This window comes from Homo sapiens, chromosome 8 (genome assembly GCF_000001405.40).
Source record: "Homo sapiens chromosome 8, GRCh38.p14 Primary Assembly".
Taxonomy (NCBI): domain Eukaryota; kingdom Metazoa; phylum Chordata; class Mammalia; order Primates; family Hominidae; genus Homo; species Homo sapiens.
The window spans coordinates 109,468,134-109,484,649 of NC_000008.11; the positions used below are offsets into that span (position 1 = coordinate 109,468,134).

The 16,516-nt window shown below is 33.6% G+C and overlaps 1 protein-coding gene and 1 pseudogene across 7 annotated transcripts in view; both read left to right on the forward strand.

The window, feature by feature from the left end:
• PKHD1L1 (PKHD1 like 1) overlaps positions 1-16,516 on the forward strand; it is a 174,747-nt gene that overhangs the window by 105,673 nt on the left and 52,558 nt on the right. For all 7 annotated transcript variants that reach the window (NM_177531.6, XM_011517371.3, XM_017013971.2 and 4 more), the window contains 7 exons: positions 6,985-7,136; positions 8,375-8,534; positions 9,092-9,263; positions 11,418-11,506; positions 11,858-12,006; positions 13,300-13,429; positions 14,854-14,972. In NM_177531.6, coding sequence (NP_803875.2) covers positions 6,985-7,136; positions 8,375-8,534; positions 9,092-9,263; positions 11,418-11,506; positions 11,858-12,006; positions 13,300-13,429; positions 14,854-14,972 — 971 coding nt within the window. The remainder of the gene's footprint in view (positions 1-6,984; positions 7,137-8,374; positions 8,535-9,091; positions 9,264-11,417; positions 11,507-11,857; positions 12,007-13,299; positions 13,430-14,853; positions 14,973-16,516) is intronic.
• On the forward strand, positions 2,005-4,121 carry MAPK6P5 (mitogen-activated protein kinase 6 pseudogene 5; annotated as a pseudogene).

Here is a 16,516-nt window from a genome sequence, read left to right on the forward strand (position 1 = left end):
TTAGCATAATTATACCAGCCACATGACAGCTGCTAAAATTACTTATGTCAAATCCATCAGGACATGCTGGAATTTTGTTATTACACTCCATGTTGTCAGCTTCTCTTATTAAGATATTTCTTAGAAGAATTTCAACTCCTGCCCTCATTTCAAATGGAGCCAGTCTTTTAGATTTTATATATGATTCAGGAAGGCAGGTATTTCTGCATTTATGACATAATAGCTTTCTTGTTAAGTCTCTCTGTGCCCTTTAAGAATTAAGATTTTTTATTTAGTTACTAAACTGTGAATACCTAGAGGGCAATATCTACAAACTTACATTTCTGATGCCGTAAGACTCATCACAGAACATTGTAAATAGTAAGTACTCAGCAAGTGTTGAATTAAATGGAATTAGTTGCAATACTCAGACCATATTGCAAATACTCAAACCAGATTTTATATGTCTGTTTCCACTGTACATTCTGGAACTGGAGAAAGAACCATAATATGTCCCCATGACCCTACTGGTCTCACTGTGAGACTAAGTGAAGACTCATCCATCACTTGCCCTTGATAAGCCCCCATTCTGGCTGGTGGGCCATGTTAGCATGTTAGCATTGGTGACTTCGAGGATTATTAGCATCAGTTTAGAGCCAGGATCTAATAATATGGAAGGTCTGGTTATTTTTCTTTCCTTAGTATAATCGGCCACATATCTCTTTCACTCAGTGGTGGGGCTTTTGGTCTGTGAATTGGCTTGGATCTAGAAAATAGGTAAGAAGCAGTGAATTTCTACCTAGGTAATTTGAGTTAGACTTCTGCCGTCTTAAGACCTCTGTTAGTTTTCTTCCTATATGCAAACCAAATATCACCTTAATATGCTACTCATCTAATCTTTGGAATCTCAAGATCAATCAATCAGCTATCACAGATTCCTGCAGTTCAGAGCACTCTGATTCCTCTGCCCAGTGACTATTGTGCTAATTAAACCTACCTTTATATCTAATGGTTAAGCACTGACTCCTGCCACTTTTAGATTCCGTTATTCTTACTGGGATCAAAAAACCCAATCCCATGGCACCATCCCCTACCAGCATTTCTGGCATTGAGAGAACAGCTACCATAGAACTCTTCAAAGAGCTAGTAAGGGGAAAATGCTATTACCATTACTGGCCCTGAAAAGATGAAGGGAAGGAACAGTTACATGGACCCAGAGACAGAGCTGTATGAAGAAGGCTGCCTGAAAGAAGCTGTGCCCCTTGGTTGAGAGATACAAGAGCCCACCAATATCCCCCTACATTCCCTAAGGGTGAGAATCAGGGCAATAAATACCTCTCTTTCACCTTTCTCCTTCCCTCTCTTCTCTTTACTGTGTTTCTTACTGTCTAAACCCAACCAGAAGCTAGAAGGCAAAGGAGCAGGGTAGAGAAGGGTGAAAAGTGGATCTACAGGAGAAAACCTAAGTGTGCAGTGCCACTTCCATCATTCCTTATGATGATATAAGTTATTACATTTAATTTTAAAACATTTTTTCTAGGTTTTTTTCCCCTGTGAATTAAAAGGGTCATGTACCTGCTATCTGAGTAATAGCTATACCCACTGTCACAGTGCCTTAATAATATAAACCCAGAAACCTTTGCTTTTCTTCTGATAACTAGATGTCCAGAATGGAATGATGTTACTTAAACTTTTAAAGTCTGTGGTACAATAAAATATTTTAAACAAAATATCTATGAATGTTTCTTCCAAATAAAAACTGAAACAAAAGTAACCAAAACATCAAAAGCAAATGAAATTATTTTATCTAATGAAGTGATATTTTAGTATTTCCCATTACTGTATCATAGAATAGTTTCTTATTTAATCATCCTTTTACATACTTTATGGCATACCTGTGAGTAAACTGAACATTAGTACTTTATTAAAACATGATTTAAGATACACTTTTTCAGAAACACAGACATGTGCAACCTTCCTAAGTAAATTATTTTAAATATACAACATAATAAAGTATATATTCCTTACAAGTTGATCCCCAAAAATATTTGGATGAAGATTGGGAAAAGTATCTGGAGGATCCTGCTTTTGATACCAGTTACTCTACTGAGCCTTGTTGGAAATACTCAGATCATCATGAAAACAAATACTGTGATCTGGAGTGTAGCCATACTTGTAACTGCAAAACGAGGTCATCATCATATTTAGATAACTTAGTTTGGAGAGAGAGTGAAGTTAACCATTACTATGAACCCAAGCTTATTATAGATCTTTCCAATTGGAGAGAACAAAGCAAAGAAAAAACTGATAAGAAAGGCAAATCAAAATGTGAAAGGAATGGATTGGTTAAAGCCCAGATAGCGCTAGAGGAAGCATCACAGCAACTGGCTGGAAAAGAAAGGGAAAAGAAGCAGGGATTTGATTTTGATTCCTTTATTGCAGGAACTATTCAGCTTAGTTCCCAGCATGAGCCTACTGATGTTGTTGATAAATTAAATGACTTGAATAGCTCAGTGTCCCAACTAGAATTGAAAAGTTTGATATCAAAGTCAGTAAGCTGAGAAAAACAGGAAAAAGGAATGGCAAATCTGGTTCAATTAGAAGCCTTGTACCAATCTTCTTGGGACAGCCAGTTTCTGAGTGGTAGGGAGGACTGTTTTTTCATAAATCAGTTTTGTGAGGTAAGGAAGGATGAACAAGTTGAAAAGGAAAACACACTAGTTACTTGGATAAGTTCTTTAGCAGGAAAGAAGATCCTGAAATGCTAGAAACTGAGCCAGTAGAGGATGGGAAGCCTGGGGAGAGAGAAATGAGGAAGGATTTCTGAACAACAGTGGGGAGTTCCTCTTTAACAAGCAGCTCGAGTCCATAGGCATCCCGCAGTTTCACAGTCCAGTTGGGTCACCACTTAAGTCAATACAGGCCACATTAACACCTTCTGCGATGAAATCTTCTCCTCAAATTCCTCATCAAACATACAGCAGCATCTGAAACATCTAAACTAAAACACTCAGCAGACATTTACCTTTGTATTCTTCATGAAATGTGTTTTGTCTTTTTTTATTACTAGTGTTTAAGTCATTTTTTACTTGAATCAGATGGTGTCATTTAGTAAGGGTTTTATGAGTTCTTCTTTTTTAAAATCCAGACTTTCTTTTTCTACATGTGAGATCGTTTTCATTTTAACTGGCATGTCATTTGCACACAAAAATAAAGACTAGAGCAAAATAATGCAACGCAGGAGGAGAAAAGAAATGCACAAAGACAAGTAAAGAACATTCTCTCATAGAACAATGATCTGTTTTACAGGAAACAGACCTTGCCTTGAAATTTACACAGTGAGACTGTACATAATTGCATGAAAGTAGCTATTTTTTTCTAAGACATTTTTCATTCATGAGTATTTCCAAGTATTTCATACTGTACACATTTCTTAAAACACATGATACCAGCAGCAACTGAAAATGAATGCCGAATTTGGTTCACATGTGTTATCTACCTCACGGTAACAAGAGTATGTGGCAAAACATATACCGCCCATAGTGCTTCACAAAATGCGCTTCTATTTAGACAGCCTTTATTGTAGTAAACTGTTCTTAATGAAACTCATTCACTGTTTACAAATGTTCTGGTATGCATTCTTTATAGTGAAGTGTTAATACATCACATCTTATTTATTTTAGCAAATCAGCATATCTTCTGTATTTAATTATAAAAATTAACTTAGTTTTTAAAATTTATTTGCAAATACACTTTTTCCATTTGACACTATGGTTTGTTGCCTACCTAGCTGAATCTATAATGTCAGCTTATCCTAAGGCTGTCCACATACTTAATTTACTTAAGTGTTCATTTTAAGTAACGTGCTCACTGTATATAGGAATTTGTATTTTGGAGGTGCTTGATCTACAAAGAAAAATTAATTAGGAATTACTTTATTATAAAATGCTCCTAGAAGTCTTAATTGTGTTTATTTTTTAAAAAAAATAATGTTAGACTTGTGCGCATGGAAGTAATTAAGGTACATCATATTGTAGTTTAAAAGTTGTACATGATAAGACATTTTGTTTTTACTGTATGTTTTTACTGAATGATCTATCCCCCATCCCAAGGCAAGCATGAATAAAATTAAGTTAAACATAAAAAAAATAAAGTATATATTCCTTTAACTATTAATTTTTAAGCACTAATATTCAAACATCTAAGCTTTCAAATCTCTAAGCTTTCTTTTTGTGGTTATTTTTAGTGGTGGTGAGGATTTTAGAAAGGAGCTTTTGTTTGCTTATTTGTCTATATTCTGGTTTTTTGATTCAGGGAATCTGGTATTTCTGAATTTATAACATTTTAGCTTTCTTGTCACGTTTCTCTGCACCCTTTCATCTATTCCCTTCAAGAATTAAGATTTTTTATTGAGTTACTAAACTGTGAATACCTAGAGGGCCAGATCTACAAACTTATCTTTCTGACGCCGCAAGGCTCAACGCAGGACATTGCAAATAGTAACTACTCAGCAAGTGTTGAATTAAATGGAATTAGTTGCAATACTCAGACCACATTGCAAATTAGAGAAAACACTATGCTAGGCATTTTACTTCTGTGTGTGAAAAAAAAAAATCAACTGTATAGTAAAGTACATTTGGCTACTTTGATCTCCATTAAAGTCAAATAAAATTATTTACTTCTAAAAGTTAAAAACAGAAAAAGATAACTTGTCCTGATTGTATATGTATGCTGAGTGAAACAAAAGTTTAAAAAGTATACTAGATTAGTGGGAAGTAAGGGTTTGCTATAATTTTACACACGTCCATATATATCTTTATCAAAGCATCTCATGCATGATGGTATATCTTTATGTAAATATATGTATAAAGTTATACCAGATGGCAAATTAATTTGAGACACTAACTCTTAATGATCCTATTTTTAGAAAATATCAACTTCAAAGAGTTTATATTTCAGTCCAAGACACTTAAAACCAACATACTTGAAATGAGTGCAGCTTAAAAAATTAGGAAAAACACAACTTAAAAAAATGGAAATTTGTTTCACTTGTGAAACTGAATTATTAAGAAATGTCAGGTTAAATGCAATCCCAAGCATCAGAAAACTTCACTGGAGGCTGGGTGCGGTGGCTCATGCCTGTAATCCTAGCCCTTTGGGGGGCAAAGGTGGGCAGATCACTTGAGGTCAAGAGTTCGAAAGCAGCCTGGCCAACATAGGTGAAACCCTGCCTCTACTAAAACTACCAGAAAAATTAGCCAGGTGTGGTGGCACATGCCTGTAATCCCAGCTACTTGGGAGGTTGAGGCAGGAGAATTGCTTGAATCCAGGAGGCAGAGTTTGCAGTGAGCCGAGATCATACCACTGGACTCCAGCCTGGGTGACAGTTAGAGACTCCATCTCAAGAAAAAAAAAAAAGAAAAGAAAAAGAAAGAAAAGAACTCAATTCAGTGGAATTCCACTTAATTGAGTTCTGCAAATCCAGGAGCAAATTCTAGAGGTTTTGGATGATTTTAATCAGCTCTTCTATGTTAACCATTGCTTCACAACAGACTATCTCAAAACTCAATAGCTTAAGCCTACAATCATTTATTCTTAGGTGTCCACAGGCTAGGTTGATTGATCTAGGCTGGGCTCTGCTGGAAGTCTCTGCTTCAATATAAGGCTTTGCTTCTCCCCAAGGGCTGAGCTCAGGTAACTCCACATGTACTCGTTCCAGGTGTCAGGCAAAGGGAGAGCAGTTACCTGGAGGAGGCTCTTCTCTTTGTGAAGATAGAGGCTTAAGAAGTCAAACCTCACTGAGCAAGCACTTTTCAAGCATTTACTAGTGTCAGTTCCACTAATGTCCCATTGGCCAAGATCAATGAAGCAGGGAAGTCTACTTTGCCCTCAAGGAGAAGAAAGGAGTGGATATTTGCTGAACAATAATCCAACTAGTCACAGTTCTTTTCATACTTTACGGGATTTTCTGGTAGTGAAAGTTTTTGGTGTCTCTGGTCATGAATCTTTTAAAATTAATACTAACTCATAAAGCATAGAAAATCATGAATTTTTTCTCTCATGGCTTTGGAATTTTGTTGGGCCTTATTTCAGACAGATTATTTTATAATCTTGCTTCTAGCTTCTTCCTCCTAAATTTTTAAAATAAGAGGTTGTTACTTTAATATAAAATCCAATCTGAGATGAAAAGTAAAGGAAGGGGGAGAAAAATAGAGGCAGTTAATGAAAGACCTTTCCTTTATATTGTAAGAGAACTTTTCAAATCTTCTATTAAAGCTATCAGGCATTCTCTTGTGACCAAAGCATTACTAAATTATATAGTTTTTCCTGTAACAGGTAGTTCAGGTTCAAGGTTTGTATTCCTAAAATGTATATATCTTCATCAGTGTTAAGTTATAGGTCTAGTTGTAGCCTTGTTCTTTAATAATTCTAAATCAAAACACCATTAAAGTCAAACAAAATTATTTACTAGTAAACATTAATATGTGTTGTACAGATTTTAATTAGCTCAACAGACATAGAAAACTCTAATAAAGAATCAGAGCTTATGTTTTTATATATTCTACATCAAGGATTCTGAATAACTAAGTTCTTAAAGAATAAAAATGAAATTATGTTTAGATCAATGACCTTTAAATAATTATATTAATATATTTAGGCACTTTCGTTTTAGCAGTTGTAATTTCACAATGTTTCAAGTGTATCTTTCCCTAAGGAATAAAGGCTCCATCTCAATTCAAAATTCCAGGTTTGAAAGCATTTTACTTTCCAGTTAAATATAATATTAATCATTTCAGTTCTTCAGTCAAACGAAGACATTTAGAACATAAGTAATGAAATGCCATATTAATCTTTTTAAAGACTGTCATAGACTAAACCAATATTTGCTAAACCAACATTTGCTAAACCAACCAAACTAAACTAACTTTTGCACTTGTTTACAAAAGGAGGAGTTTATTAGAGGTAGAGATTACTATTATTTTCTTGTTCTATGTTCTCCTATAGGCACAAGCATTATTCCATTTCAGAAGAAACGACTGACTCATATGTCTGGATGGATGGCTCTGATTCCAAATGCAAATCACATTAACTGGTATTTTAAAGGTGTGGATCACATAACCAACATTTCATATACATCGACATTCTATGGATTCAAGGTAAAAATATTTATCTTCTAATGATTATAATTGTGTATTACCCAAACACAGCCTACATCCTCATACTTACTCACAGACATTGTCAGGCCAGAGGGACTTTCATCACAAATTGAGCTATTGAAATCCTGCACATTCTTTGTGAGCCACTCTGAATCTAAGAAGTAAGCCAAAAAAATCTCATTTGAGAATCAGAAGTAAGCAATCTTTCTGCCACATTGCTGTAGTACTAAGCTTATTCCCCTGTCATTATTACCATGATAATAACTTACCTTTACTGAGAGTTTATGATATCTCAGGGACCAGCAGTTAAGGACTTTATTTTTTATATCATGAAATATATCAAACATACCTGAGGTCAAGAGTTTGAGACCAGTCTGGCCAACATGGAGAAACCTCGTCTCTATTAAAAATACAAAAAAAAAAAAAGATTAGCCGGGTGTGGTGGTGGGCATCTGTAGTCCCAGCTACTTGGGGAGACTGGGGCAGGAGAATCGCTTGAACCCAAGAGGCAGAGGTTGCAGTGAACCAAGATCGCCCCACTGTACTCCAGCCTGGGCGACAGAGGGAGACTCCATCTCAAAAAAAAAAAAAAAAGCCACTACCTAACTCTATCTAAATCTAACATTCTGTGAATATTTACTTTCTAATTTATAAAAAAAGTAAAATATGGTAGATAAAGTGGAAGCCTTCTGTATTATTTACTCTCATGTTATTCCCCATTCTCCACCTCTAATGGTAGCCAGTATCCTGAATTGGATGTTTTCCATCTTATACATGTTCTTCCACTTATACTACACATTTGTGCAGCATTGTTTTAAATATTTTTAAACATTATAGAAATAAAATATTGTCTACAATTTTATCTGTCAGTTTTTAAAATAAAATATTTTCTAAATATATGCATATATACACACATACACACATCACATATATGTGTGTGTATGCATATATATATATACTATACATGTGTATACTTAATGTATATGTATTTATATATACATACACACACACAGGAGAGAGAGAGAGATCCTTTCGTTGCCTTAGTGACAGAACTAGCATTATTGTCATAGACATGTAAAACGTTAATAAACAAAATAGAAATTCAAGACAAAAAACAAACTAAAGCCAAAACTTTTAAATCTTAACATAATATAGGGGCTAATTATATGTCATTAAAATTAATGTGTTATACGAAGAATATTAACATACAAGTCACATTTTTCTATAAACTTTTATAGGAAGAAGACTATGTAATTATATCACATAACTTCACTCAAAATCCTGACATGTTTAATATTATTGATATGAGGAATGGTTCCTCAAATCCATTGAATTGGAATACTAGCAAGAATGGGGACTGGCACCTTGAAGCAAACACTAGTACTCTATATTACTTGGGTATGTGTCATTAGGCAGAAATGATAGTTTATCTAATGCTTTGTCTAAAAGATGAGAAAAATTGCTTAATAAGCAAATGTGTTGTGCAGTGCTTAATATATACAGGATCCAATAAATGTTTGCTGAATGGAAAAACTGGAGACAAAATTTATTCTTGAAAAGGTTTTGAGTTGAATTAAGAACTTTCATTTTATGTTGAAGGTGACACCAGCATGCTTGCACATTGACAGTTTTATTTCATGGGCTTAGAGAAAATGAATACAATGGAAGCTGGCATATGTTTTGTTTCCATTTTTATTATTTAATTATTTGGAAAATTAAAATATTTAATAATAAGTTTTAATTAAATTCTAAAGCATTCATTTTTATCAAGATATTTTGACCGTGTATATCTTTATAATACATACATTATCAGAATTTCTCCATACCTCTTCCATACATGTGAATTATAATTCAAGTTACTACCTAAAGAACATTTTCCAAAATTCCATAATTTTGTTTACATTCAAGTACTTTGGTCACTATGTTCATTTAACCCACTTTTACTTCACTTTCAGTGTCAGGAAGAAATGACCTTCATCAGAGTCAGCTCATTTCTGGGAACCTGGATCCTGATGTGAAAGACGTTGTTATTAATTTCCAAGCTTACTGTTGTATTCTCCAGGATTGCTTTCCTGTACATCCGCCATCAAGAAAACCAATTCCCAAGAAGCGACCAGCCACATATAAGTACATAGGCCTTTTGTAGTTGATACCCTTCAATATCTCTTAACATAATCCTTTTCACATGTCACTCCTGGGTGAAATAATAATGCTTTACTCTTGCACAATGTCTTGTAGGTTACAAAGTACTTTCACATTCACTGCTTTGCTTGAGCCTTACAAAAACCTTCGTGAGAAAATGAAAATGTCTTAAAAAAATTATGTGTGAAAGTTGCTGGTAACCTCACAGTTGCAGAATGTTAGATTTAGATTCTTAGACCTGGCCCAACTCCCTTATCATATAGACGAGAAAGCTGACACCCAGTGAACATAGGTGCATTACCTAAGATCACAGAGCTCACTGATGGCATATCCAGTACAGCACCAGAAACTAAGTCTCCTCGTGAATCCAATGCTTTCTTAGCAGGTGCTGTCTCTAGAATAACCATCGTGGTCAAATCTCATAATAAAACTTAGTTAATTTTCTTTCAAATATATTTTAATTCTTTTAGTTAAAAACAATATTTCTATCTTTGTAACTTACATAGCTCTTTACCTTTATTTCTCGTGAAGCATCACTTTCTACCTTGTATTAGAGTAATTACTGGACATGATGGTACTAGCACATTCAGTATTAGTCTTTAAGATGCTGAAAGGCATGATCCTGATTTGATGTATATTTGCATCCCTTATGGACAATACTACTGACAAAACATGATGATGATGCTAAAAACTAACATTTAGTGGGCACTGAATAGCCCACTACTGTGTAACAAGTACAACTCAATGATAATTATTAGATGAATTACATTTCAAAATAAATAGACACTGTAGTGGTTATTGTACAAAAGAACAAAAATTGAATTTGTTTATATATTCATTCAACCACTAAAAAAAATTTACTGAGTATCCACTATGTGCCAGGCATTTTGGATTCAATTATAAACAACATAGATGTGATCTCTGATCTCATTACACTCATATTCAATCCAAAGAGATGACAAAACAAGCAAACAAACAAAAAAGTAAACAGAAGATAAAGTATGTAAGTGTGAGTTGTGATAAATGTTATAAAAAAATGGATATGGGGCTGGGACAGAGAGCAATATGGCAGGGACAGCCTTTGGGTGGGGTGGTTAGGAACACCCTCAGGGAGGGGTTATTCCAACTGCAACCCAAAGGATAAGGAAGAGCTCGCTGCGTGAAGGGTGGGAGAAACCTAGGGAGCAACTTGTGCAAGTGCCCTGACATAGAAAGGGTGTGGCATGTCAAACAATGGAGAGAGAATCATCAAGGCCCTTATGCATTCTGAGGTAGATATAATTATTAAATATTTAATTAACATTTATTATGACTACTATAACAGATTTAGATTGCTCTAGGCCAGAATGTGATAAAGGTAAACTACGATAAACTACATGTATATGCCATGGTATAGTTTTTCTTTCTTCCCATGGTATGAATTTTCATCACTGGAAATAGTTATAATTGGATTGATTAATTTGTATTATTCAGCTAGCTATGAATAATACAAGACAAAACAGAATCTTGACCCAGAAGTGCTACCTCAGGATTAGAACAGAAGGCTCAAGCTATATAACTTAATGCCTAGTTTTAGAGGGCTTTGTTGATCGTAACATGGCAAATAAGAAGGGGAATGCATAACATGATTATTGATAGTGAGTGATGGTATTAATAAGAATGAAGGGCTATGATTGTGCATATTTTCCAGTGGGAAAATATCACCAATTTTATAATAATATCCTTCATAAAAATTTGCATTAAAAGGTATTTTCTAGAAGGCATAGTGATGAAAACTGAAGACCGTCTGTCCTCCCATACACTTGATGAAATTATTTCAATTTAACCTAGCTTTCACTTTGGATACAGACCTGCCACCCCCATCCCAGCCCAGGGGCTTAATGGCATTGGTGCATCCTCGTCAACTCAGAGACCATCCTTCTACCCCTTTCTTCACAGAATCTAGCCAACTATATCCTCTACCCCTACTCCCCATGAAATAGCACCATGTGTCAAGGGTCTTTAAAAGGACAAAGCGTGCATTTTTTTTCTTCTCTACCATGTAAAATCTTATGGGGAAATGGAACGGTTTACATTTTAGACAAAATTAGGGAATATCACAAGTAGTAATTCATGGAAGTATTTCTCTTCTCTTTTCAGTTTATGGTCAAATGATTCTTTTTGGCAATCATCACGAGAAAATAATTATACTGTACCTCACCCAGGGGCAAATGTGATTATACCTGAAGGTAAATGCGTAAACACAAATGAATGAAATGTTTGTTTTCTGCAATATTAACACTATGGCAGGGTAGATGTCACAGTTTTATCAGCACACCTTTCCAAAAGAGCAAGTGTGGAGAAGTGGACTCTATTAATGCATCCCGGATACTAAACCTAGCCTTCTGGGGTTTCTGTGGATTTAAACCTGACCATTAATTAACAAGAGCAGATTTTCTGGGAGAGATAGGAATCAGGTATTATATGAAAAGACATGTCATAAACACTCAAAACTAGGACTCACTGATAAGCTTGTCAATGTTTTGCTATAAGTTGTAGTTTATGGATTATGTTATATTTCTTAAAGTATTGTTTTATAGGAACATGGATTGTAGCTGACATAGATATGCCATCAATGGAAAGACTCATTATTTGGGGGGTTCTAGAACTGGAAGATAAATACAATGTAGGAGCTGCAGAATCTTCTTACAGAGAAGTTGTTTTGAATGCTACCTACATATCACTGCAGGTAAGAGTGAGGGCCTTGTAGTTTATATCTTTATTAATCTAATTCTAAAATGTGTATTTACTCAAATAATAAGAAAGAAGCATATTCAATTGGTGTGAATAAAAACACAACTGGCTCTATCCCATTAAATGCAAGTCTCAGTTAAGTCCAATATATTTCTGTTCTCCTTTAAATTATGGACTAAACATTTCTTAGGAGTAGTTACTATAGGATTCTTGAGTCTGCAGTTGGCCCAGTTTCCATTGTGTATAGAATATCTATGTCATTATGAGGTCAGGCTAAACCAACAGCTTGTTCCAACAAAGAGTCCTAGGAGTTCTGAAACAAGTAAAAGAATTTAAGCCTTTTGTTCTTTAAATAAAACAAACAGTATTTAAAAAAAAAACCAAAGGGACATAGATGGAATTGTGAAAGCAAGAGAAAATAAATCAAAATGTTACAGTTATTCGGAACAATCCCCACATTCCTTGTAAACCCCAGATGGTCTTGAACCTGTACCAGCTTAATCAGCTCGATTGTCCTGTCAGTCTTGTAATATTGTTCATGAAAAAGAATTGCTTAGCCAAAAAGCTATTAAGCAGCATTAAAATAATAAGCAGTTAGCATTATTATTATTTCTTTGAGAAAAGGAATAAAGTCCAGAAACTTGGTTATTAATATTTTAAAAGTGCATTGTATTTTGATTAGACATATGGCTTTAAGGTAAATTAAAATTACAACTGAATTTTACCTTATTGTTTTTTAGTTGGGTAACCATGGGTAAGTTATTTGACCTCTTTCACCATTAGTTTTCTCACCTGTGAAATAAGGATAATAATACTAATTCATGAATTTGGTGTAAAGAAAGGTTAAAGGATATATGTGAAGCCTTACACATTATGCATGATGGAAACAGCAAGCATTTAATGATAGCTATTAACTATTAGTATTAACAATGATGGCTCATAAATTGCATAGCTTGGGTGTAAGCGTAAAGAGTATATTTTACATATAGGATATTACTTTCAAATACATTATGGTCTGTTCAAACACCACTAGTTTAGGTCTTATGAAATCTCAGTTTTAGGTCTAGTTCTGTCAGTAAGTAGATATTGAATTTGACCTTTGAAAAATCATTTAAACTGCTTATCCAAAAGTGAAATTAAAGTCACTTCCAGTTATAATGCTGTTCTTTATATAACAAAACTCATTCCTTTTTACTAGGCTTCCAGTGACTTCTGAATTCCTTTTTTATGGGTGGATTTTTTTTCCTGGTCAATTTTTAAGTATTAACAATTTTCTGCTTCATTTCAGGGAGGTAGATTAATCGGTGGCTGGGAAGATAACCCTTTTAAAGGAGACTTAAAGATTGTTCTTAGAGGAAATCATACTACACAAGACTGGGCTCTTCCAGAAGGACCAAATCAAGGGGCAAAGGTCTTAGGTGTGTGTCTACAGATACCAAAAGTGTCACATCTGTTTTAAGAATCTACTTTAAAATATATGGCACTAAAGTACATATCAGTTCATAATGATAAATACTTTATCATAAAAAGTACTTCTGATACAAAAGTATCAGAAGTTTTTACAGAAATTTATTTATTGTAAAGGGTTATAGAAGTAGCAGAGATTTTAGAATTAAATAACCTCACATTTCACCAGGTTAAAACAGATATAAATGTGTGTATTTTAAACCAAAATGTAATTTATTACAAAACTAATAGTAACAAATCTCTTTGTATGTATATTATTTTTCCAATCTGGTTTTCTTCATACAGTTTTCTTTATGTAAGCAATACTATGTTTCACATTTTGGTACCTTTCCTTAAAGGGTAACTTTCCTACACATTATTCCATTTATAGTATTAATAAATAATCTGTGGATCAGTTGACTCTGCAATCAATTACCCAATCACAGCTGTTGCTGAGATTTAATTTCCCAGTTGCATTAGTATACCGTGGATATTCTTATTTGAGCTCAGAAAGCAAATGGCTTGAAAGAGTTTAACCTGGTCACAATTAAGAACTGCTTTTATGAATGGTACTGCATATTTATTTAGGAGACGCATATAAGTATGTGCTACCATTGTTTTACTGTACAATTTCTAAAACTGACACCAAGTAAATAAGGGGCTAAACAATTGCTTGAGATTGAATTAGCTCACCATTCACAAATGTCCTGAGGCAGACAAATTCAATCTTAAAAAAAAGTATGTGCTTTTTATTTCAAAAGTAACACTTTAAACAACATAGAACAGTATGAAGAAAACATATCTGTAAAGAATACACATCTTTCTAATTCTCTTTTAAGGACACTAGAATTAGTTAAAAATTTTTTGTGTGTTTTCCTATGTTTTTTATCTATGCCTATATTCATATTACATATACTGATTTGTGGTGATAGTATTGTTCCTTTCATAAAACATGGTCACATTAAGTATATTATTACGCAGTTTTCTTTTCTCAGTGAACATATTATGAAAATCTTTCCTGATTTAAACTTACAGATAAAACTCTTTTTTATAGCCTATTATTTTACAGTATTAGTAAACTTTATTCCATCCTTTTCCTATTGATGTATATTTGGATTAATTCCAGTTTCCTTGTGTTTCTAAATATTGCTGTGGTAAGCATCTTCATTCATGTACTCTTGTATACTGGCTTTAATGTCTATGAGCCAGATTTCCGGAAGTGGGTTAAAGGGCCACGTCTTCTTACATGGTTCCAAGCAGAGAGCACCAATTCATTCCTTTTGTTCTAAAATGTTTAATCACATAATAAAATATATCAATGAACATTTTCATTTTATACTAGCACCTAACTCAGTACTGTGGGGTGAATAAGTAGGAGTGTGCTTTTCTTCTTTAGGGGTGTTTGGTGAGCTGGATCTTCATGGAATTCCACATTCAATATATAAAACTAAGCTCTCAGAAACTGCATTTGCAGGTTCCAAAGTCCTGTCTCTGATGGATGCTGTGGATTGGCAGGTAGACAAAATAATTATGTAATGGAAAATGAATATACACAGTGGGTCAGCTGAAAAAAGTTTCTATTCTACTCTCATGGGCATTCATTTTCTCATGTGATTAACCAGATGAAAAATGTGTATTTTGCAATAAGCTTGCAAAAATGTATCCGATAGGAGGCATTTAAAAATTGTGGCTTCAATGGTCCTTTAAAATAAATAGAGAACATTATGTGTGTGTGCATATAATACATAGGTATGTATATTGTATTTATATATATTTTATGACTGTATATTATGTATATATATTTTATGACATATATGACTATAGATTAGTCATACAATATATGACTAATATATATTATGTATATACAAGCTAATATATGTAATATATGTCATTAAAATGTATGTACATAATATAAATTAGTCATATTATTTTATATTAATATATATGTAAGTCATAAGAAAAATATGAATATTTTTGGATAAAATTAAAATATGACTATTAGTCATAAAAATATATATACATAATATATTAGTCATATTAGTCATATTTTATGCCAATGTATATTAGTCATAAAAGAAAAATATGAACATTTTTGGATAAAATTATTTATTATAAATTCTTGCAAAACAGAAAATTGAATTATTTAAAATATATTTTATTATCTTGGTTACCTCTTCACTTCTAATTTATGATTTTACATGTTAAGAATTTGAAAAGAAAACAAATTCTGACACCCAGTGACATCCAAATACTGCCTGTGTTAAATGAGATATTTTAATAAAGTATAAATGGTAGCAATTCTCATCTCTACTGTGCTCATAAACTATGCACAAGCCATAGAGTCCACAGGTTTTACAAATACATTTTTTAATGCCAAGAAAAATTAGAGAAATGGATGGATTTCATCTCCAAGCTCTCAGATCTCAGCCAGTTCCTTTCTGGTGAGAACAAGCTTTAGACTCACAGAACAAAGAGAGCCTTAGTTTGGGCAAATCAATGCAAATCATCAAAACATATGGTTTTGCTCTCTTAGTGTAGTTTATAATTGGTAAATAGAAAGAGGGTTTATTGAGAAGTATTATCATCTACTTACAATATGTTTTTATTTGTGATAGTTCTGGTGTGATTACTTTTTGAAGAGAGTAATTAAGTGATTTTGATATCCCTATTATTTATCCAATTAATACTGTCTGCAAATTTTGTGTCAGAGTAATATTTAACCAAGTGTCACACAGTTTTCTAGGCATTGGGGATTTAGTGGTGAAGAAATTTGTCCAATCTATCATGGAACTTCCATTGGAGTGGGAGAGTCAGATAGTAAATGAACAAATAAATATCTATTGATTTCAAATAATGTGCATAATGAAGGAAATAAAACAGGTAGTGTGATAGAGACTGCCATGGCAAAGAGTAGCAGATAACATTGAATATTCCAGAGATGGTCTTTGTCAAGGGTACATCTGAGCAGAGATTTGGATGACAAGGAGGAGCTCAATATACAAAGTTCTAGGACTCAGCCTTGCCCTTTAACTTTCCTCGGGCTTTTCTGCCTTTCAGGA